This window comes from Homo sapiens, chromosome 13, assembly GCF_000001405.40.
Source record: "Homo sapiens chromosome 13, GRCh38.p14 Primary Assembly".
NCBI classification, from domain to species: Eukaryota; Metazoa; Chordata; class Mammalia; order Primates; family Hominidae; genus Homo; species Homo sapiens.
In genome coordinates this window covers 91,111,366-91,135,335 of record NC_000013.11, presented here as the reverse complement: position 1 = coordinate 91,135,335, position 23,970 = coordinate 91,111,366, and the positions used below count along the sequence as shown (strand labels likewise).

The 23,970-nt window shown below is 36.1% G+C and overlaps 3 long non-coding RNA genes across 3 annotated transcripts in view, besides 1 other annotated feature; 2 read left to right on the top strand and 1 right to left on the bottom strand.

The window, feature by feature from the left end:
- Positions 1-7,723, top strand: part of LINC00379 (long intergenic non-protein coding RNA 379) — an 84,086-nt gene extending 76,363 nt beyond the window's left edge. The window contains exons 3-4 of the long non-coding RNA NR_047004.1: positions 3,929-4,113; positions 7,478-7,723. This is a non-coding gene — a long non-coding RNA (long intergenic non-protein coding RNA 379). The remainder of the gene's footprint in view (positions 1-3,928; positions 4,114-7,477) is intronic.
- On the bottom strand, positions 613-23,701 carry LOC105370312 (uncharacterized). Its single transcript, XR_931639.3, has 3 exons — positions 23,516-23,701; positions 840-1,698; positions 613-765 (listed from the first exon to the last, which is right to left on the bottom strand). It is a non-coding gene; the product is annotated as an uncharacterized LOC105370312 (long non-coding RNA).
- Positions 8,288-13,733, top strand: LOC124903187 (uncharacterized). The gene is made up of 2 exons (XR_007063829.1): positions 8,288-11,391; positions 13,391-13,733. It is a non-coding gene; the product is annotated as an uncharacterized LOC124903187 (long non-coding RNA).
- Positions 11,053-11,587: an enhancer, noted in NCBI's record as "NANOG hESC enhancer chr13:91776003-91776537 (GRCh37/hg19 assembly coordinates)". NCBI's record gives its function as "activates a minimal SCP1, AML or CMV promoter by ChIP-STARR-seq in naive H9 embryonic stem cells {active_cell/tissue: H9 hESC(naive)}" and the evidence as "EXISTENCE:reporter gene assay evidence [ECO:0000049][PMID:30033119]".
- Positions 23,702-23,970: the final 269 nt, after the last annotated feature.

Here is a 23,970-nt window from a genome sequence, read left to right as displayed (position 1 = left end):
CCTGCTTTGTCACACGCTCACTAACTTTGTGTTTCCTCCTCAAATTTCAGTTTGAAGGATTTAGGGGAAAATGCCATGTGCCCACTTACCTGTGATTTGGGTGCTAGGCCATTTTGCCTTTTGAAATTTCGAATCATACAAACTAGTCTTAGATGTTTAAAATAGGAAGCCTGATACGCGTACTAGGCATATTTACAAGTGACCAAGAATGATTGCTTTTTATAGAGGTTGGTGAGAACAGAAACTTTCCAACAAATTGAAAGCCTGCTTCCCTCTCATTATTTAAAAAAAAAAAAAAAAAGACAAAAGAAAAGCAGAACTGTGACATTAAGAAAAAAAAATTGCTTAAGAAATATGTAAAGGAGAGAGCCCTCTGCAGTGTAAAGTAGTTGACAGCATGAAAAGCCACTTGGAAAGGTAAGAGGGGACACAGTGCTGTACTCTCACATTTCTTTCCTGAAGAATTAGGTAGTAAGTTGGCTCAGACTTTCATCTTCTTCCACATCCTACCTAGAGTTAAGTGTCAAGAAGCTTATTTAACCGGCCACCTGACAAACCTCTCCATCTTGTGAACTAGAACAGCTCCCCCCTTCTGGAAGTCATCGAGGGTCGAACAAATTCCACTGTATCAACGTCCAGTTGATCATTAGCATTTTCTGTAGGATGTGTTGTTTATGATTTTGGTCTACAATAGTCTCTAAACTGGCACAGTCCCCAGAAGTTCTTCAGAACGTTGCAGTCAGTTAAGACGAAAATTGTTAACTCCTGGAAAAATACACCAGAGTGAATGAAGAGGCCGATTAAAAATTGTTAATAAAAATATATTTTGACATGTTCACCTCAAAAGTATCTTTATAGGAGTCATCCTACAGGAAAGGCTTGGAACAGTTAGACAACCTTCCAGGGAGTTCTGATTTTGAGTTCTGGTGCCACCTTGTGGACAGTGGGAGGAAGAGAAGATGCAAAAGAGGCTTGACTGAGTCATTCGCAGTAGATCAAGAATGTCATCTGATTAATTTACTTCATACCCTTTGTATCAAAAACAAAACAAAACAAAAAACTCCAAACTAGAAAAAAAAAAAAAAGGCAAAACTTTATCACTTTCCAGAGGAGGAACTCTTTAAGTCTTCCCATCAGTTAAAGGATTAAGAGGATTAAGACCAAAACCCGATTTTGCTGACATTCAGGGTCTCTCGCAATCTGATTCTAGCCGATTTTTGCAGCATTACTGGAAACCACTCTTCTCCATGAATTTCTCATTACAGCCATACTGGTCTGCTCCTCCCAGATAGTCATTACCTTTGCCCATGTTATCTTCCCATCCAGAATAGACCTTTAGATGCTTTTACAATCTTCCATTTGGAAGGACTTTACAATTGGATTTGATGTCTTCAATGTTGGTGCCTCTCATAAAACTCCGTCCTAAGAAGTCCTTGAACCTCTTCTTGAACATCTCTGGGGCAGTGCATTCAACCTGATTGAAATGACTTATGATTTTTTCAGCGATCTCTAGTAGTAAACGCTTTCTTAAGTTGGACATGTACCTTTTGCTCAAGAGCAGGCTGAGTGCTGGATGTATGAGGACTTCTGTGCACAGACTCTGGACCAAGATGAGTTGGGTTCAAACTTCAGCTTTGTAGCTTTCTAGCTGTGTGGCATTGGGCACATAACTTATCTAGGCCTCAGCTGTTTCTTCACCTGTAAAATAAGAATAAAAACAGTGCCTGCTATCAATCATATCAGTTTTGTAAGTCATCTTATATGTATGAAAGTACTTACAACAGTGTGTACCATGTAGTTGATACTTTGTAAGTGCTGGTTAATGGAAACAGATGAAAAGAGAGTATTGAACAACATATCTCAATGTGCACACTTGGAGCATCCAACCTAAAGATGCCACACTAGTTAAAGTCCCATAGGGATATAAGTTTGGGATATGCTGAATGCTATATACAGATGCATACTGTGTGCATGTATGTACTCTATCTATGCAGATATATGATAATTAGCATAATCGAGGCTCCTAATTCTTGACATATAACAACCCACCTTTGTCTAACGGCATTTCCTAAACTTATGTGACCCATGAATCCTATTCAAAGTAACATCTTAACATCTCATTACATATGTATGTTGTAGAAGAAGAATCCTCAACTCAAAACATTTAGGGACAAAGCAAATAATGTAAATGAGGGAAGAAGGCCAGGTAAAATACAGTATGGAGTAGTGTGAGTTATGGAAGTCTAGAGGACGCATGCTTCGCCTAAATGCATTTCACTTTGGCTTGTGAAAAAACACCGTGTAGGCCAAGGAAAACATATCCGAAATCTGAATCTGGGCCGTGTCCAGCAAATTTGTGATTCCCGTAGAGTGAGAAAAGGGAAGTAACTGCATAATCTGGAGAAGAACCAATTTTTAGAGATAAAGAGAAGCCAGAAAAAGAGACTGTGAAGGAAAAGTAGGAGATGTAGCCAGGAAAGAGCAGCATCCTGGAAACAGAAAGAGGCAAAACAGAGGGGTCTCTGGGTCTCGAGAGGTCATATTGGTTTCCTATTGCTGCTATTCTGAATTACCACACATTTAGTGGCTTAAAGCAACACAAATTTATTATCTTAGAATTCTACAGGCCAGGAGTTTGATGTGGGTCTAACTGGGCTAAAATCAAGGTCTGGTCAAGGCTGTGTTACTTCTGGAGGTTCTAGGACAGGGGTCCTCAAGCCCCAGGGCCACGGACTGTACTGCACAGCAGCAGGTAAGTGGCGGGCAGGTGAGAAGCTTCATCTGTACTGAAGGCTGCTCCCCCATCGCTCCACTGGCATTACCGCCTGAGCTCCACCTCCTGTCACATCAGAGCAGCATTAGATTCTCATAAGAGCCCAAACCCTATTGTGAACTGTGTATCTAGGTTGCACACTCCTTATGAGAATCTAATGTCTCATGATCTGCCACTGTCTTCCATCACCCCCAGATGGGACCATCTAGTTGCAGGAAAACAAACTCAGGGCTCCGACTGATTATACTTTATGGTGAGTTGTATAATCATTTCATTATATATTACGACATAATAATAATGGAAATAAAGTGCACAATAAATGTAATGCGCTTGAACCGTCTTGAAACCATCCACCCTCCACAGTCCGTGGAAAAATTGTTTTCCACAAAACTGGTCCCTGGTGCCAAAAAGGCTGGGGATCACTGTTCTAGGAGAAAATCCACTTCCTTACTTTCCTAGCCTCTAGAGGCTGCTTGCAGTCTTTGGCTTACGGCCCCTTCCCCCAGCCAGGAGTGTGGAGTCCTTCTCATATCACACCATCTGACCTCCTCTCCTGCTTCCCTCTCCTGCTTCCCCCGCCCCAAAGAAATAGCGTTCATTTTATTAACTCTAAGCCAAATGAATTAACAAGGCTTTCTAGACACATATTAGGAATTATCACAGTAATATGTTATTGACACAATTAGTAATGTCTCAAAATGTATTGAACTTACTGAAATATTGTTATGGTTATTTTAGTTGTTGTTAGTGCTATTAATCATATGCATTATTGTTTGATAGTTTTTTGAACTTATATGAGGCAAGGTATAACATGGAAACAAATTATAATTGTGTAGTAATTAATTTTAGGTGTTGAAGAAAATATTCAAGAAGTTGTTGAGCATATCACTGAGGGTGTGTGCAGGCCTCTAATGGCAAAATATTTTGTTTTTATATATGCTTATGATATCTGGTTAAATTATTGCCTTATTAGTAGGAATTTTAAAAAAACTGATACCAGCTTGAACTCAAGCTGTTATTTTTTCAAATTAACACATAAATATAGGCTAATAAAATACATTTGAAATAATAATTGCCAGTTTTCTCTCTGAGAAAGAAAATTGGAAAATTCTTAGTTTATATATATATTGACTTTTTGTTTTTTTTTTTTTACAGATATTACTTTATAGTAATTTATCTTAGTCCAGGTGCAGTGCCTCACACCTGTAATCCCAGCACTTTGGAAGGCTGAGCTGGGAGGATTGCTTGAGGCTGGCAGTTCAAGACTTCTTCCATTTTAAGGGGCCTTGTGATTACAGCTGGTCCATCTGGATATTCTAAGATATTCTCCCTATTTTAAGGTCAGTCAGTTGACAACATTAATTCCATTTTCAACCTTAATTCTCCTTTGTCATGTAACACAACATATTGACAAGTTCAGGGGATTAGAACATGAACATCTCCGGGGGACCATTATCCTGCCTGTGACAGAAGGTAAAGAGAATACTAAAGAAAGGCCAAGAATCTCTGAGAGCTGGAACTAGGGCTTTCTCATCCTCTCCTCTCCTCACCTAAACGATCCATCCTCTTACCTTCTGCTAATGGGATAGAAAGTTGGGAAAGGAGAATAGAATTGAACCCCATTTGACAAGAAATTAAGCACATAATTCACAGTGTGTGGCACTAAATAAGGATGGGATGTCTTTTGGTAGGAAGGAAATAGTTCAGGGAAGCAGCTCTATGATGTCTGTGCAAATTAGAATAAAGATGCCCAACCCCTTCCCCCCCCAGGAAGATGAATAAGAAGAGGGAGCCTCTTCCAGGAAGATAAATGCCGAAAAAGCTACCTTTTCTCCATCTGGGGACGGATGATACCAAAATGATGCCCCCTTCCAGGCTGATAAGGTTTGGCTGGGTCCCCACCCAAATCTCATCTTGAATTCCCACATATTGTGGGAGAGACCCAGTGGGAGGTAATTGAATCATGGGGGCAGGTCTTTCTCTGCTATTCTCATGATAGTGAAGAAGTCTCATGAGATCTGATGATTTTATAAGGCGGAGTTTCCCTGCACAATTTCTCTCTTTGCCTGCTCCCATCCATGTGAGATGTGACTTGCTCCTCCTTGCCTTCCGCCAATGATTGTGAGGCCTTCCCAGCCACGTGGAACTATGAGTCAATTAAACCTCTTTTTCTTCCCAGTCTCGGGTATGTCTTTATCAGCAGCATGAAAACAGACTAATACACAGGCCAGTGCAGTCTTCTGAAGGTCTGCAGAAATGGACAAGTGGCACACCCATGCAGCCCTCGGCTGGGTTCCATTGCATGGGGCACAGTCTTCACAACTGTAGGGGCAGGCAGGAGACAGCCCAGGTTCTGGGCTCCCCTGACCCTCCTACCCCTCCAACCCCTCCAACTAGTTCTTTCCTATCAAAAGACATACTACCATTATTTTCATGCTCAGAGACACAGTTTTTCCATGGTTTTCCCCAAATTTCTAGGATTTTCTCAGAGCATTTTGTACAGAGCTCTAGAATAGCCCATAGCACATGTTACTTTGATTTCTTACATAATTATCTTTCTTCTTGGCAGTGAATTCCCAGAGAGCAAAGGAAATTTAATTTTTTTTAACCTCAGTAGAGTGTTTGTATTTATATCATTGAATTTACCACTGATGGGGTATATGAAACAATTTTACTTGATATGAAGATAAATTTTAAAATGTTGCTAGTTAAATATTTAAGTGTTTATTAGAATATGTATGTGGCATCTTGATATTCATAATGTGGTTCTCAGACTCATCTGAGAACTTGTGAGAAATGCAGAAATGGCCCCAACCCAGACTGATGGCATCAAAATCATTTTAGCTTTATCCCAGGTGACTTGAGCTCACATCAAAGTATGATAAGTGGCCACGGGGGCTCATGCCTGTAATCCCAGCACTTTGGGAGGCTGAGGCAGGTGAATCACCACCTGAGATCAAGAGTTCAAGACCAGCCTGGCCAATATGGTGAAAACCCGTCTCTACTAAAAATACAAAAAATTAGCCAGGCATGGTGGCAGGCGCCTGTAATCCCAGCTACTTGGGAGCCTGAGGCAGGAGAATTGTTTGAACCCAGGAGGTGGAGGTTGCAGTGAGCCGAGATTGCACCATTGCACTCCAGCCCAGGCAACAAGAGTGAAACACTGCCTAAAAAAAAAAAAAAAAAAAAAAAAAAAAAAAAAAAAGTATGACAAGCACTGAGAGCACCAAACCCATCATCTAGCAGGTGATACTGTGTAGAATGGGCCGCATTTAAAAAAGATCCATTGATTGAAGTTTCATTTAAAGGAAAATAACACGTAGGTATTGCTTCAATATGACAAATTGTGAAGGAACTAAACAAATGACTGATGTGTGGGAAACAGTGAACTAACGCATGAAGGTGGCCGTAAATGTGTGTGGAATTTGTTGAGTATTTAATTTTCTGTAACTTTTGACAACATATTGATCTACTAACCTAATAGGTACCTAATTCTTTCTTTCTTTCTTTCCACCTACACCCAGATTTTTTCTTTTTCCTGCCTAACTCACTCACTTCCAGGCTTTGCCTTATACATTTCTTCACTCAGTCATCAAGCAACAGATAGTTATTGAGCTCTTCAACGTCTATGGCCCATCTTAGGTATCCATAAATGAGTCAGAATCCGTGCTTCATCAATATAACATTGCGTTACCATACATATGGTCTCAGAAATCCCTTTAAGCACTTAAAGTAATTCCTTTATTACTGACAACTAAGAACAAACCCAACTCTTCTCAGGATTGAGTTAATCACACAGAGCAAGGAACACAGGTACATGTTACAATAGTTACATTGTAACGTGAAGTCCCTCAGATTATTACATAAGGAAGTTCTAGCTGCACATGCAAAATCAGCTGAGCCATGTTGGCAATCCGGATTCCACCCAGATGCCACAGGTTTCAGGAATGGAGTCTGCCACTTATTCATTCTAACTTGACGTGCCAGTCATCAGCAGACTTGAGCACTCTCAGGCAAATAACAGCAAGAGGTTAGAAAGCAGAGAAAGAACCCTAGGCTCAGAATTGCTAATTGCTAACTGCTTTGGGGCTACCACTCGGGGCAATACAGTTTTATTCTTGAGATCCTGGGCATAAATTGTTCAACGCTATTATACTTAGCCTAGCCCTCACTAAACCAGTAATCTGAGAAGCAAAATGCCCCACCTATAGTTCTTCTCAAATTGCCAAAATACCCATACTTTATGTACAAAATGGAAGATGCTTGTTATGATTCTATGTTGCCTGTTTATGGATAAATCTTTTAAGATGTAACATTACAAACACTGTTAGATTGTGTTATGCTGGTTTGACACTTCCAAATGACTGATTCAAGTGATTCATGAGTGGTGTGGTGTGTGGTTTCAAGATAGAGAGGCAAAGAGCATTTGTGCCCATAGAATATGATTCATTTTTTTAAAAACCCTTATTTGAAAATTTAGGGAGATTGGCAATCAATACTTTATTCACTGGAGAATTGATTCAACAATCCAATGCGGGTCTAGTATGAATTGTTGATAATTGAAGCATCTTTGTTATCTAAGACATTTAAATGCTCACTTCTGCATGTTATTTTGATGTAAGAGCTATAATTTAATGTTTATCAGGTATCTTAAGTGCTTTATTTGTATCTTCTCATTTAATCACTACAACTTTCATTTTACAGGAGAGAAATCTGAAATCTGAGGTGCAGTTGATTTGAATCCAGGAAATCTAAGGAAAAAGTTCAAGCTCTTAATCATTTCATACCCTTCTTGTTGCTAACTTAAACTTTTTTTTTAAAAAAGTTAATCTTGTCTATGAAGCATGAATCTATAATACTAGGGAAAAAACTGGCTAACTTGAAGAAAAAATAAATTGAAATGAAAAGCAATTAATTCCTCTTAATATGAATAAAGGATGATCTAAATGCTTTTTGAGAAATGATTTCAAGTAATGAAATTTACAGGAAAAAAAATCCTCTTTTCTGAATAAGCAATCATGGTATTAATCCTAAGTTCTTTAATCTTTATATTTACATTTGTTCTTAAAGCTTGGTGTTTTCTACCAAAACCATCTGTGTATCTCTGTCTATCTTCACGTGTTCTTTCTGTATACATTCATGCATGCGCACACACACAGAGATTTCATTATTTATTCATAAAATAGTTGAAAATCACTGCTTTGGCCCTTTTAACTGTATATAAATCTCTCAGTTCTCTAGTGCTTGGAAAGGAAGTATTTATTTTATTTTATTTTTATTTTATTTATTTTGAGATAGAGTCTCACTCTGTCGCCCAGGCTGGAGTGCAGTGGTGCAATCCTGGCTCACTGCAGCCTTAATCTCCAAGGCTCAAGCTGTCCTCCCACCTCAGCTTCCCTCGTAGCTGGGACCACAGGCATGCCACCACACCCAGCTAATTTTTGTGTTTTTTTGGAGAGATGGGGTTTCCTCATGTTGCCCACGGTGGTCTGGAACTCCTGGGTTCAAGTGACTGGCCCTACCTTGGCCTCCCAAAGTTCTATGATTAGAGGCGTGAGTCACCCTCCCTCGCCAGGAAGTATGACAAACAGAATGAGCCTGCAACCAGAGTCTTTGATTCAAACCCTTGCCCACCATTCACTGACTGTTTGAGCCTCAGTATCTTTATGTGGAACATGAGGTCTATAACAGAACTTAACAAACAGGAGATAATTATTAATGAGATTAAATGCAATGAGGAATGTCAGTGGTACCCTCTCTGTAGAGGAACTTAAGGAGTTGAGCCTCCAAGCTTCTTTCTTGATATGCTGATGAAAGACATAGCCTAGTTTATGGTGGGTGCTGCTTAAATTCCAGCCCTCTCTCTTTCAGTCAACAGGCTTGGACTCAAAATAAGCCCCATTCAGGCTGATTTGCCTGCCTATATCAGTCACAAACTGCACCTCTTGCAAAAACAGCTTTCCCTCCAATGTGTACTGGCCTTGAAGAAGACTGAGATATAGGGAAACAAAGATCTTTAAAATCAAGTTACTGAAAGGTCACTGAAATAATATACAGTGAAAGATGGATGATGCCATCATTGTATAAATAAAGTCAGTACAACCATTAAAGAACTTACAAGTATGGGTTTTTTCTTCTCTATGGTTATGATCATGGATAGAATAATTTTGATATGACCATGATTATATTATATCTGGATGGTTTAGATGTCTTTCAGAAAATTAATATTTATTCTTTGGCATTATATAATTTCTTAAATAAACATGAAGAGAGAAATGTTTTGAATAACAATTCTCTAGTCCTAAATTTTCTATACTTAGCATGTATTGTTTCTTTTTTAATAACTTACAACAACTTTATTTTAAAATTAGTTTAGGCAATGTTTTTTGAAATGGCTTCTTTGAAGTCGCTTCTTGGAATGATTATAGCCATTGTGTAAAGCCAGCAATAAAAGAAGGATTTGAAAGTAGAGAGTAGAACAGTAGTTACCAAGGGCTGGAGGCAGGGGTAGAGGAGATATTGATCAAAGGACACAAAATTTCATTTAGGAGGAATAAGTTAAAGAGACGCACTGTCACATGGTGACTACAGTTAATAACAATGTGTTGTGTTATTGAAAATCCATGAGGGTAGATTTTAAGTGTTCTGACCACAAAAAAAAGCATGTGAGGTAACACATACATTAATTAGCTCTATGTAGCCATTCTATAATGTATACATGTTTCAAAACAACATGTACACAATAAATATATATGATTTTTTATTTGCTAGTTAAGAAAAGCGTTTGACACTTCAAAAAATAAAATACTTTTGGCATATGAAGAGTCATTTACAATCACGCCCCAGACTTTGTTGTTAATATTAGCAGGGATAGTCATTGCTTATAAGGTCTTCACATGCTTATAAAAGAAGTTTCACTAAATCTAGTTAGCATTGAGAAGTGTTGACAAGAAGAGTTGAAAATAAACCTCAAGACAACTTTCTGATTTAAAATTCTATTTCTTGGTGTGTGAATGTTATTTTTGAGGAAACATACACTTTATTGCAACATAATAAATAAATGAGAAAATAAGACAATGTTATTTTACCCAATATAGCAGGGTGGTCTTTAAATAAGTGCATAAATAGCCCATGAGATAGTTTGAAGCTTTCAGCTTTGTCACCCTGTTGGTCTAGTCAAATGACTCACATATTAGCAATTTGTTTGCAAAACATCTTCTTCTTATAGTTTCCATTGGATTACATAAGATTGTTTTATCCTGATAGATAATCTGGACTTTCTTCACCAAAAGAAGGTTAATATTCCTACAAATTTTAAACCAAAACATTAAATTTTATACTGAAAATACATCTTCCTTGAGGTCAAGACTGTAGGGGAAGGCAGATTTTTGGTGTCCTTATCCAAATGATAGCCTTGCAAACCAGGCTGTTTTCATGAGAGGATTTTCTTACTTTATTTAAATCTTCTCTGAGCGTAACAGGAAATAAATCTGGAGACTCCAGCTTCTGGAGCTTTTCCACAAAGAAGATAATCTTTCTGATTTAAAGACACAATAAACCCTTCTTTCTCCATGTTCTTCAAAATCCATAGAGCTCAAATAACCACTTCTTTTCATTCGCTATAGAACAGCATTATTTCCAAAATTGCATTTAAATCATCTACATACAGAAGGTTAAATTTGTTTAAAAATGAATAATTACATTCATTTCTTTACATTTGTACTCTGAATAATGTGGAATTTAAACTAGGTGTGGTTACACTTTAGCTATGAGACATTGGGCCGGTCACTTATTCTCTTCAGAGGATTAAAAGGATAAAATATTTTAAAAAATATCTATCTATCTATCTATCTATCTATCTATCTATCTATCTATAGATAGATACACACACACACACACACACACACACATAGAGTTCTTATACAAACCCTCATTAAATGTAATCCAAGTTGTAGACCCACAGTACTGATTTAGGTAGGCAAAATATCAAATTAACAACAACAAAAAAATACCAGACATAAAAAATGTGTCTCATATTCTGGACACATCATTATTCTCTGAAATATCCACAGACCACTCTAATCTGAGCACACCCTAGGTGGACCAGGAACACAAGTAATGTGAATGACTGCAATAATAAAATGAGTATGTTAAACTATCAATTACTTGGCTTTGATTCTGTGCTTGAATTATATTCAATGAGCCTCTGCTGTGTGCCAGACAATGTTCTGGGCAGCAGCGACACACTGGTGAACAGTCCTTGCCTATATGGAGCTTACATTTTAGAAGGCAAAGACAGACCAATAAATAAGTCAGCAAACAATTCGTCAATATAACTTCAAATAATAACAAATACTTTGAAGAAAATCAACTAGGGTCGTGCCTGAGGGCTTGGGAATTAAATGTACTTTAGTTTGGAAACCAGAGAAGTCATGGCTGAGGGATTTATATCTTCACTGACAACTGAAGACCCAGAAGAAACCAGCAAGGCAAAGGCTGGGAATCAATGTCTCCAGCTGTGTCCTTGAGGAAGCAGGAAATGCAAACGGCTCTAAAGGAAGAAGGAGCTTACTTATTTGCCAAACAGAAAGAAAGTTGATGAGAGCAATGAAACCGCAGTAAGTGAAGGTAGAGTGGGAGGAAAAGGCTGGGTCATTAAAAGCTTTTTTAGTCATTTTAAGAGTTTTGAAATTTTTAAACAGGGGAATGAGATCATCTGATTTTTGACTGAACAATGACGCTGGTTGCTACATGCAGAATGGCAGCAGGGAGATAAGGATGTAAACAGAAGACTGATTGGGAAGTTATTTTAATTCAGGGAAAACATGATGCACTTGGATTGAGGTAGTAGCTACAGAAATGGAGAGGATGTTATAGGTCCTATGACGTAGAAGAGAATACTCTGGAAGCAGAATTGATAGACTTCATGATAGGTTATGTGAAGAAGGATCAAAAAGGAACCAAGGACAGCTATACAGTGGTTGGTTTGAACAATTGATGGTTCATGATGCCATTGCTGAGATAAGGATATTTAAGGAGGAAGATGACGAGGTGAGGAAACTTTTTAGAGCAACTAGGTGAACCTTAGCTGTGGATATTGTCCATTTCTCTAAATGTGATGCAGTTACTGGGGAACTGAGAAAAACTACTGCTTTCTCCATCTTTCTAAAATATAATTCACTTTTTTCTCATGTCTAAAACTCTTTGCAAAACCTAGATTCTTTGTGTCTAATATATGTCCACAACACCATATCTGCAATTCCAAATTCCATTAGTTTGGAAAAGTAATAGATTTGTGTAACCTACTTGGCAGCAAAATTCACCTGATCTGGTCTAATTTGGTGGCAAAATCCAGCTTGAATTTAAGGGATGTCATTGATAATGTTAAAGCAAGATTAAAATGGAGACTGCCTGAAGAATGCCTTACCAAACAAAACCAACAAGGCTTTAAAGAGAGCCTTAGCCTTGCTTAAGTTGCAAACATAAGCAAAAGTTAACTCGGATCTTTTTGGGTAAATGCTTATGTTATACAGAGACAAAACTTAACCTAGCCAATCATGAGCAGTCTACTAAGATATGATTATGTGACTAGGGACTTTCCAACAAGGTAAACCATAAAAAGCAATTTGTAACTGCCACTAGTCAAATAACTTGTTTTGTTTTCTTATTCACCCTATAAATATTTGCCTCTGAAGCTGTGTCATTGGAACACTAAACTTCATTTAGTCTGGTGTTCCCCAATTCATGAATTATTTCTTACTCAAATAAACTCTTTAAAATTTTATTGTGCCCTATATTTTTCTTTTACAAGAAACTTTATCCCTTTTAATATTACTATTTATACATTTTGGTGTAGAAACGTTAGAGTTTGATTTCAGAGTGCCACTCTAGACCCCACTGGGGTTACGTAGGATATGGTACATGTGCTGTATAATCTTTATGACTTTTTTAAAAAAACTTAGAATTCTGAAACTCATCTATCCTCTGGTCCTAGAGAAGAGATATAGACCTTTAACTTTAAATTGGATAGTATTTTATTATGTGTTTCAGTGCTTGGTATAAAGAAATATTGGATCCTTTTCTGAGAGAAGTGGTTTACAAAGTGTCCTTCATGAAGGGAGGAGAAATTCGGAGAGCAAAATTTGCTGATATTACAAACTCTAGACCCAGGCATAGAGGGCAATGTAGGTGACTTCAGTGTAATGGATTATGAGGGCAGGAAGGATGGGTTCTTATGAAAGGGAAAGTCACATAGACAGACAGATTAAATTAATCAGCAGTCTAATGACTTAACAATTGTGTCAAAATTCCTAACTCTGCTTGCCCAAGTTAACTTGGGGCAGCTTGAACACTTAATTTTATTGATTCTAGGCTGCATATTTTCTGCATTTTAATTTTTCGGAAGTTGGGACGTGTCTTATGATTGATGGAATCTTAAAATGGACTCTGATCGGGTGGAAGTGATGATATGTTATTTCCCGCCCATGCTTGGCCTTGTCTGTTGCTTCTGTACCATATGGCAAATAAAAACTTTGATATCTCAATCATAAACTATTTGAGAGCATTAATAGGAAAGTTTATGTCTTTTGACTGTTACCCAAACTTTTCCATTGTCAGAATTAATTAAGATCAAGAAAACACTAACACCAAAACTCAAAGGATGTTGGAAGCTTGAAAGAAGACCTCAAAGACAATATTTGGGCATATTTTAAGAGCATCATCAATACTCTGTATGGCACCGAGGATGACTTATGGAAAAACAGAGTTATCAATGACTTTTTGTTGGAAATTATCCAAAAGAGTAAGATTCTGCAAAGAAGTTTGTGAATTTATTTACCAGTTTATTTTTATTTCTATTTTCATTTTACGATTGCCTGAGAGTGATATTTGAAAAGTGTTATATTCATATATGTCTAAATTTTTCAACAAGTATCAAATAAAGATTCTAAGTTATAAGAAAGCATTGTGTCAGTTTAATTGTATGATTTCTTAAAATTAGCTCCACATGAATGAACGGTACATCTAAAATTGATAATTTGATAATTGTCTCAGATTTGAGGAAATACTATCCTCCATTATAGACAAAGGCTAGAAGGACCTGGGAATGGGGAGGGGGACTATGTAACAGACAAATATTCCAATCTCAGATGATTATTCTTCCACTCTCCTTTTTTCTCTGAGTCTAAGCTCATCTTTTACTGTCCCTCTGGACTTTAACAGGCACTCTGCTATTAATGCTTAAATGGAGCATCTACTTAATTAGATTACAGCATTTACAGGACATAAACCTTTGGGTACATGTCAAAGACCCTGGACTTTAGGCCACAACCAATGTAAGTGGATGATTTCCCAATGATAGCATATGCCTAGAAAGGTTTGGCTTTATTTTCCGTGAGTTCTTATCTAATGCAAAATAAACTTTGAATTTATATTTCTTGAGTTTTCCAGCACACAATGTTTTGCTTTTATAACTTCTATTATTAAAAGAAGAATATTATACTATTTGTAAATGTTTTTGATGTGCAAAATTTTATACCTATAGGTTGCAAAATCTGTGCATTGCACTAGAAATTTTGCTGAGTTTTCAGCTCTTAGCCACAGCATTTAAGTAGTACAATTCATTTCATGTTTAACTTTATTTAAATATCATAGTGAGTAGACCATTGGTTTTCAGATTATTTTAAATTTCTTTGTATAATCTGAGTTGATTTCCCATTGTGTCTGCCAAAGTACTCTTCTTTCTTCTTGAGGACAGTGCACATTTAGAAATTACCTTTTTGAAACATCTTGAAAACTGACTCTTCAAAAATGACTTTCAATACTTAAGAACATGACAAAAATATATTTATAACATAACTTTTAGTTACATGTTATGCCGTATATAAAACTATGTACTTGTGAATGTTCAATACCTATCCCCCTCCCCCCAAAACAGCAACTTGTTTTGTTGCATTTGCTGATTTATATAGTATAAATACTCCCACATGTCCAGTTTCAAAGTACCAACTTGATGTCACTGGACATACAGTTAGGAAGGGTATCATTATAAAGTATTTTTACAGTAAAGAAGCAATAAATGTAAGCAACTACAAAAGCACACATAATAGTGAAATGCATTAAAATAATTGGGAAATACTAAGTTTTGAGTATTACTTCGTTTGCTTATTTTGTAATTTATTTAATTGTAAGTTTATATAATCCAATTTTTGGCAATGGCTGTATTTAACAACTGGTTTCCAAATTTACAAATGTACTCTTTTAAGCCTACATGAACTGGGTGTAGTTCAGCACTCCTGTATATATGATATTTGATATTGCCTATTATAACACAGGTTAAAAATAGTGAAGCTTAAACTCATTTGAGACTTCCTCCCTCCCTCTTTTCCTTCCTTCCTTCCTTTCCTTTCCCTCCTTCCTTCCTTCCTTCCCTCCATCCTTAAGTTCTTACAGATTTGCTAGACATGTCAAAATGAGTAGAAATCAGTATGAACAAATTAAATTATAAAGTTACCTATTTATGCTATTGATATGGGGACAGACAGAAATAAGAAGGTTATACTTTTCCAGGATTCTATAATATATATTTTCTTTATATGTCAGGATATATGTACGTATCCAGTTATATATCTTGATACAGTTATTTTTGTTTCTATGAAACCATGTTGAATGCTATGAAAAGCCTTGATAATGGTAAGTTACTAAAAAAGGCTCTCTAGGTATGAGCAAGAAGGCGAAAGACTGAGATAAAAAATACCAGCTGTTAGTTTCTGTATTCTGATTGCTTTGCTAGTATCTTTATATTCTTGGACCACTTTAAAGAAATAAAACCCAACATTTTAAATAATGAATTTCTGAGGAATACTTATCTACCGATTTGTAATTAACAAAAAGACCTATGTTAAAAAAAGTAAGTAAATGTGTGCATTTTTGCTAAAATAAAAATCAATTTTAATTATTTTTAATGGTTATTTGTATCATTTTTATTTAGAATTTTTTGTTTTGTTTGTTTTTGCCATTAACTGATAAAATATTACCCCAAACACAGTGGATATTAGGGCTTCACTTATGAATATACTTACCATTTCCAAAATTTATACTTACTACATTCTGAGAAATGCAGAGTTAGAATGTAGCAAAGTAAGGCAAGACACATAATTACTAGCATCAGGTGTTAGAAGGTCCAATTAAATTTCACAGAATTCAAGAGAAAAAAAATGAATGTAGTCAGGTAATCTCTCTTGTTGAAATTATGACACAATTTATTTAGTTTATAATCAAATTGCTGATTGCTAACAATTTTTATTGACTTTTTGTTATGTAGCCCTGGCATAAAAGGTAACTATAAGGAAAAAAAAATCCAAATTCTCTTTAACCTAAAAGTCATTGTCTTGAATTTGACTTCATTGTTGCTTTTGAGGATTTTTTAAAAACTTGTGTGTATCTGCACACAAAATGATTATTCAGAATTGTTTCTTTTTCATAATTCTGGCTGCTGTTGAATGGTGATATTTTGTTCTAAGCATACAATGCTTTCCTGAGCTTTCTAGGGATTATGAAATCATTTGAGAACATTTAATAACTGCAAGAAATTTGCACTATCAAAGTAAAGAATTGAGCAAACTGCCAAAATAGTATGACAATTAGGGATAGAAAAAGGGAGGAGAGTACTTTCACCCTAATTCAGATTTCAGGCAAGAAGAATAGTCACTTATAGAATTATCTGGAAAATTACTTTCATACTTTTATTCACTCAGATGGTGAATAAAAATTTTGGCCTCTTTGATAGTTTTTATTATGTACACTAACATTATGATTAAATCTGATAAATCTATATTTTGGTAAAAGTGACTTTTAATGACAGAAAGCCTTGCATTCTACAGTTTTCATCTTTTTTTAAACTTAACTTTCCTTTTTGATTATTACTGAAACCAATAGTCTGCTGTGATTTGAATTCATGCAGTGAATGCTTAACTATGTGGTACTACTCAAGTGTGAAATTAATAATGGAGCTGGGTTTGTTGTGTGGCCTCTGACTTGCTTCCCACAATTTGAGAAGGTGTCAGAATTATGGCTTCTATTAACCTTCCTTTGTGAGGGATTTGTGAACCTATCAGATTTGCTTCCAGCTTGAATCAGTAGAAGTAAAGTGATAATTTTTGTTGTTCTTCATTTTGAAATGAAAAAGGCACATCATGTTGAATCATTTCGAGCCACCCATTGATTTTAATGTGTCCAGCTTGAGACCCTGTGCACTGGCTGTGATTGTGGCTAAAATAATTGAGAGCTTAGAAAACAAAAATGGAGCCAATAGAAGATACTTCATTATGATGAATAATCACATCCTCAACTTCCAGAGAAATTTGTTTCCATTTTCCAGGAAGCGCAAGTTAACACCATGTTTATGGTAACTCATTTACTGCAGAATACTTACTGGTGGATTTAACCCTGAAGGCAGGCCAGTGACATTGATAGTAAGTATAATAGAGCAAACCATAAATATCCTTTTGTGTAAAAAAATCCTCGTTTTATTTGTATATTGTTACTTGTATGTCTTATATATAGAACCTTTTAATTTTTATATTATAAAAATAAGTATAAATCATATAAATATAAAAATAATATAAATATAAATTATATATAGATTTACATAAATATAAATTATATATATGGAAGTCTAAAATCTTAGATCTAATGCCAAACTTAACCATAACAGTAGAGAGGAATAACATTACTCTTAAAAAATATTAATTTTGTCCATCTGACTTGTTTTACTTAAAAAAATCCTCTCTCCTGTAGTAGACTTTGAAGCAGAAAAATACAGCTTAAAGCATATTCTTAACCACTGTTGTAGTGGGTTTTTACTATCTTTGTTTTTGTTTTAGCTTATGTTTCCCTAGTGAGAAGTATTTCAGTAAGTTTCACCGTTAAATCAGTTCAGTGTAGAGCTCTTCATCCACTGAGAGAGAAACATTTTGATTGAAGATTTTTCTCAACCTTGAACGGGTCAGTTAAATTTTACCCCAGCCACTGGCTTTATTGTCTGTGTTGACTTGAACTGTGTTTCAATTAATAGAGTTTCTGCTATACTTTCAGTCTAGTACTTTCTAGTGTGCCTTGCTTTTGTTCCTCCTAGGAGGAAGAGTGCTGAAGGCAATTATTAAAGAGAAAAATAAATTTTTCTGTGAGAAAAATAAATTCATAAACATAAAATAAACCTTAAGAATTGTTGTTATTATTTTTATGCTACAATAGACATACTTTTCAGTTCATAAAGAAAAACATAACCAATTTTATTGGGTAAAAGCTTGACAACTCATTTTTATTTTTACACAGAATTCACTTGAATCAGGATGCCTGGACTTTATACCAACCAAGGGCATATGATACAAAAGATAGGCTTCTCAGCTAAATCTGTATTCCCTGCTTCCAAAATGTGTGTGTGTGTGTGTGTGTGTGTGTGTGTTTAATAGAAAATGTTAACGCTACCAACAGAAGCATAAAACCCTCTTTCCCTTCTCCATCTTGGTTCATCTTTCCTGAAGGCAATCATCTGAAACTCTACCACTGAAGGCTTCAATTTCAACCATCCTATTTTCAATGAAACCATAATTTTCCAAATTTTTTGTTGAAAAGAAAATTCCCCAGGGAGAGGTAATATTTTAAAAGTTACCAGTCATCTTTAACTATGTCAGAATAATTTTGGATCCATTCCTGAGATTTTATATTGTTCAAAGAATGAAAACCATGCTGAGAGGAGGGTGGGAAAGATGTTTGGGGCTCAAAAGACCAAAATTTTATTAGTAATTGTAACCAGTTGCAGCCAGGTATCTTAAGATGTTTACAGGAGGGGGTATGGCATGAATGTTTATTCAGAGAAAAGATTTCCTCTTCCTCTTGGCCTGAGCAAGAGGATATCCAGACTGTGCTTTAGATTTAAGGAAGATAGGGTGGTGTTTCTTAACCAGAAGCTATGTTGGCAGTACTAAGACAGAAACATCACATTATTAATATCTATTATTATTTTCTAGCTACATATGTCCTCAAGCCAGTCATCAATGAATCTCCTGTTTCCATGAGAAGACCTACCCTGTTCCATGTAGATGGAAGTGTAGTTAGAAGTGTCTAAGGAAGTTCTTCTTAGGGCAGAGACAAAACACCTTACAGCAATAGTCATGGCATTTCTGATGGCTGGATTGCTGGTGGTACTTGGGTATTTACTTTTGTTTCTCCTCTCTCTGGATGACCTCATTCACTTTCTTTCCTTTGAATGCTATATTGTGCAGATGATTTCCAAATAAATCCCTTAGCCAAGGCATCTTTGATCTCCAAATTCGCATATAAGACAGACATGTCCACTTGGACATCTTAGGTATCCCTGCATGGACATAGCTAAAATTGGGCTATTGATTCATACTCCCACTCAAACTCGGTTTTCCCTCCCTTTTGTTACATTCCCCATATTAGTCAATGCATTAACTTCATCTAGTTTCTCAAGACTTGAACCCAAAATTCAGCTGTTTCACTATTTTCCTCATTTCCATCTCCACCATCCAATTCCTCAGCAAATGCTGTATCATCAAAGAGCTCCATGCTTCACTGTCTTCACCACCATTGCCCAAATTGAGGCTGTCATCATCTCACATTAGAGATGCTGCATGGCCTGCAAATTGGCCTTCCCACTTCCACTCTTGTTTCCCTAACACTTAATCTTCACATGACAACCAGGAAGTGTTTTACACATACATATTTCCTCTTTAAGTTAAATTAAGTACTGATATCTAATGCAATTGGAAGAGTTGTGAAATTCTTCCATTGCGCTTGTAATGAAATCCTTATCTTGGTGTTCAAGGCCCTACAATACCTTGCCACACCTTTTTCGTCAATTTTCCTTCTGCCAACCCCCCTTCTCAGTCCTCCAGCCTCACTGAGTTTTTTTTTTTTTTCCAGTTCCTTGGACATTCCAAGCTTTCTCTCACTTCAGGAATTTGGCACATGTCCACTCTGCTTGGAATTTATTTTTTTCCACTTTTGGAAAGAATAGATCTCAAAATAAATATCTCTTCATGGAAATCCTAGCTGCCTACTCCACTCCTTGTCAACCCCTTGTCCATCCATTACCATCTACCGAAGCACAATGTTCATTTCCTTCACTGTGCTTTCCACAAGGCAACACCTGCAGGAGGTTAGGTGTTTGTCTTATTCATTGTCACTCAGTGTTTGTTATGTTTCCTGTCACTTGACCAATATTTGGGCATTGAGTGAAATAAACTCTTACTTTGTCTGGATCCTCCAATTGCTGCAACCATCCTGAAGCCCATCTGCCTCTTTTTACTTTTTAGGGCTTCTGTTGTTTCTCACTTATTTTCCCTACTGCATTCTGGATACTATCTTCCTTTTTGGTTTCTGTGCATTATCTTGACCTTCTGTTCCCTTGCTTGGATTCCATGGGTGTTCATGTGATCAATTCATTTAAACTTATTTGTGAGTCCTTTAAATGAAAGGCAATTTGTTGAATACTGCAGGGCATAGAACCTTGAAAAAAATGCCTACTCTTGCGGGATTGGCTCATTTTTGGTATAAGCATGGGGCAGAAAACAGGGAGGAAAGGTAAGTAAACAAACAACTTATATACTAAGATCTAAAAACTTTCCAAGCATTTTAGCTCATTGGTTTAAGTGGCAGTAACTTTGATAAAAAAACAAAAGATCCAGAGAAACTAGTTATATAATTTCAATTGCAAAGATAATGGAAAAGTCAAGTGGTTGTGGCATGTTATTAATTATGCCAGATTCACCATCTCAAAATGCTGATGTCACCCTGAAGACACACCCTTGACAATCATTCATAGCAGCAGAAACAATATAATTTTTCATTGAATTATTTCATTCACTCTCTTATAAGTAAAATTTTGTTAAGGTTTTAGAAACAGTAAGCGAAGTAATTGCTCTTGAAAGAGTAGAATAGCATATATAGGAAAAGTTCTACTAAACTTTTCTTTAACACAGTTAATAGCATGCTTTTTCCTTTTTGCTCTTTATAAGGAGAACAGCTTAGTATTATCAAAATTCATCATCACTTCACACTGGTCTCTCTCTGAGTATTCAAATAGAAATGTTATTAGGAAATCAGCCCAGAGTGTCTACCAAATCTTGGCTCCAAAATCAGTGGGCCAGTAGTAATTAAAGACTAGTGGAAGCTTAATTGCATAGCCAACTTACTCCAGCAAAAAACAAAAGCACACAAACAAAAACAAGGCAGAACAAAACCCAAAGAATAAAATTCTAAGCATTTGAATTCTGCATAATATCAAATTAACTTTAATAGTAAAAAGATGAACATTTTATTTAAGTCTATCCAGGCAGACACAAAACTCTTCCCATCACTAACAAAAAATGTGTAATACCTTGTGTTTGGTCAATTTAATATTGCTAGGGTGAAAAATGTTTATTTAAGCAGCCATCAAACAAATATTAAATACTGGAAAAGTTTCCAAAGTTGCATAAAACTGGTGCTTGAGATCAATTCGCAAAGCAATTTGTCAGTTCAAATGTATTATTTCCATTTTTAATTCATGTTTGGTAGAATGAGCATCTAGTTGCCAGTGTGAATGTAACTCACATGAGATGGTGTTGACTAGACAGGTGAGAAAGGGAAATTTTATAATTTATCAAAACAAAATATTAGGAACCAAAAAGAAAACTCACTGAATAATCCCAGCGCCATCAAGGAAGGTACATATTTTAGGAAGTTAAAAATAAGTGACTAAAATTCATTTTTATTCTTAGACTCTTTAAAAAAGAAATAACATTGGGAACCATAAATACAGTCACTTCTCTATTTTGATAATTTTTTTTTTTGCTCTGTGATCTATGCTGTACAAAGGGGGTTAGTTATGATTTTTTTTTTTTAGACGAAGTTTCGCTCTTGTCTCCCAGGCTGGAGTGCAATGGTGCAATCTCTGCTCACCGCAACCTCTGCCTCCTGGGTTCAAGCAATTCGCCCACCTCAGTCTCCCAAGTAGCTGGGATTACAGACACCAGCCACCATGCCTGGCTAATTTTTTTTGTATTTATTTATTTATTTATTTATTTATTTAATAGAGATGGGTTTTCACCGTGGTGGCCAGGCTGGTCTCAAACTCCTGACCTCAGGTGATTCTCCTGCCTCAGCCTCCCAAAGTGTTGGGATTACAGGCATGAGCCACCGTGCCCAGTCATCATTTTGTTTGTAACAAACAAAGAACTGAGAATAATTATAAAACAACCTCCTTTTTTTTTTCCCTGAATGTCAGCATGAGTCTGACATTGAAAAAAAAACACAATCCAGTCCTTATCCAGAAGCGGCACTCATTGAATTTACAGAATTACCTGAAATACAATTTATTACTCTGGACTGAACAAAATAACATTTTGATAAAGCTAAACTCCCAGAATAAAATGTTTGGCACTGGCAAACCTCAAGGAGAATATACTGCTTTCAAAATGTGATCCTAATGTGATATAATGTAATTGTATTGTTGTTATCTTACAATTATGATGAGATATGCTATGCATTTAATGAAGAAAATTGAGAAACTTCATAAAGAATAAAGCCAGTTTGTGAAATTTTGAAGACATAAAATTATGGTAAATGGTTTGAGTTACAGTATTTTATTATGTAAAATAGGTGTCAATATCATGATTACTTCACTTTCCATGGTACTTTATGAGCTCGTTGTAATACAATTTAGTGTAGTGGAGTGCACAGTGAAACAAGTATTCTCTGTTACTATACAACTAATCTTCGCAACAGCTGTGCTTTTACCATCCTCAGCTGTTCCGGTTACAACAATCATCCTTTTAACAGCTCGACACCTGTCTCTTATTATATTTGAGAGCAATTATTAATTTCTTTAAATTTTCCATCCCTTTTCGTGCCTTTGCGTTGCTTTATATTCTGATGCACATTTACATGCCCTATTATATTAATTCTCTCATTTGATCTCAAAAACCTAAAAATTATTAGGAAGTTAATTGTGCAGAGATCAGAGGTTTTTCTCACAGTATAACTCTGTTAAATGACACAGTTTGTTCCAGCTTCTTGCTGACACTGCAAAGGATTGTCTAGAATGAAGAGTTCAATTACTTTCACAGTGCTAATCATATATCATTATGCAGAGGCATGAATCCTTAATTCCCAAGCCAGTGCCCCAAGCAGTGTGACAGCAATAAAAGACACATTCCAAATTCCTCTGTCCACTGCAGCATGCAGGTAATAACTGAAGAATACAATAATTGTGTCTACTTGGCTATGTTCTTCATTAATTTGAATATTTAATGCCCGTAATGAATCACATTCCATTAATTTTTATTCACCCACAAAAAGGAATTGATTTCAGATGCATTTTTCAAGGCTGAATATGTATTTACATTTTTTGAGAACTTCCCCCTACAATTTACTTCTCATCATTTGTCTTTCTAATTTTTCAAGGTACAAATAAAAGTCACAAAAACACTGAACCGAGTTTTCCAGGTGAAAAATACCTCAGCGTTAGTAAAGCGTGACTAGTCCTTTTCTCCACACAACCTCAGACACATAGGTTAATGCGTAACCAAGACTATTCTCTTGTTTAGCTTTCCCAAGGTCAACGAAGAAATGAAATCAGAGAAAAGAATATTTTGTTTGTTTCATAGGTAGGAAAATGGCTTATAAAATCTCAGAGCAGAGTGTCATCTCATTAAGATAAATGTAAAAGTAACTCACCAATCACAAGTTATGAACATGGGAAATGTGTCATCATCAAAGCCTGTGTTTAATAACAAAGATGCTGGTACATTTCTGGCATAAAACATTTTCAGTTAACATTTTCTTTCCTCTCCTCCCATTCTTCTCCTCCCTTTTCCGCTCTGTTTGCCTGGGCATGAAGCTTGTTGGCTCCCTCTGGTGCTGTTGCCAGTTTGTTCTATAATCTGTGCAGCTGTAAATTCCCCCCACACCCCTTCATAGCTTCCAAATCTGGGATAGGGTTATAATCAGATTGCCCCTTTGAACAGAAACATGGATAGCATAGTCCTTACTCTTAAACATTTTTTTTCTTGCTAAAGCTTCTACTTATTTTATACCTGCTGTTTTGTGGGGCACTCTTAACTATAGGAACCTTAAAGATGTTTTACAGTTGCAAACACATCAATTTATTAACAGAAAATAACTTCAAATGG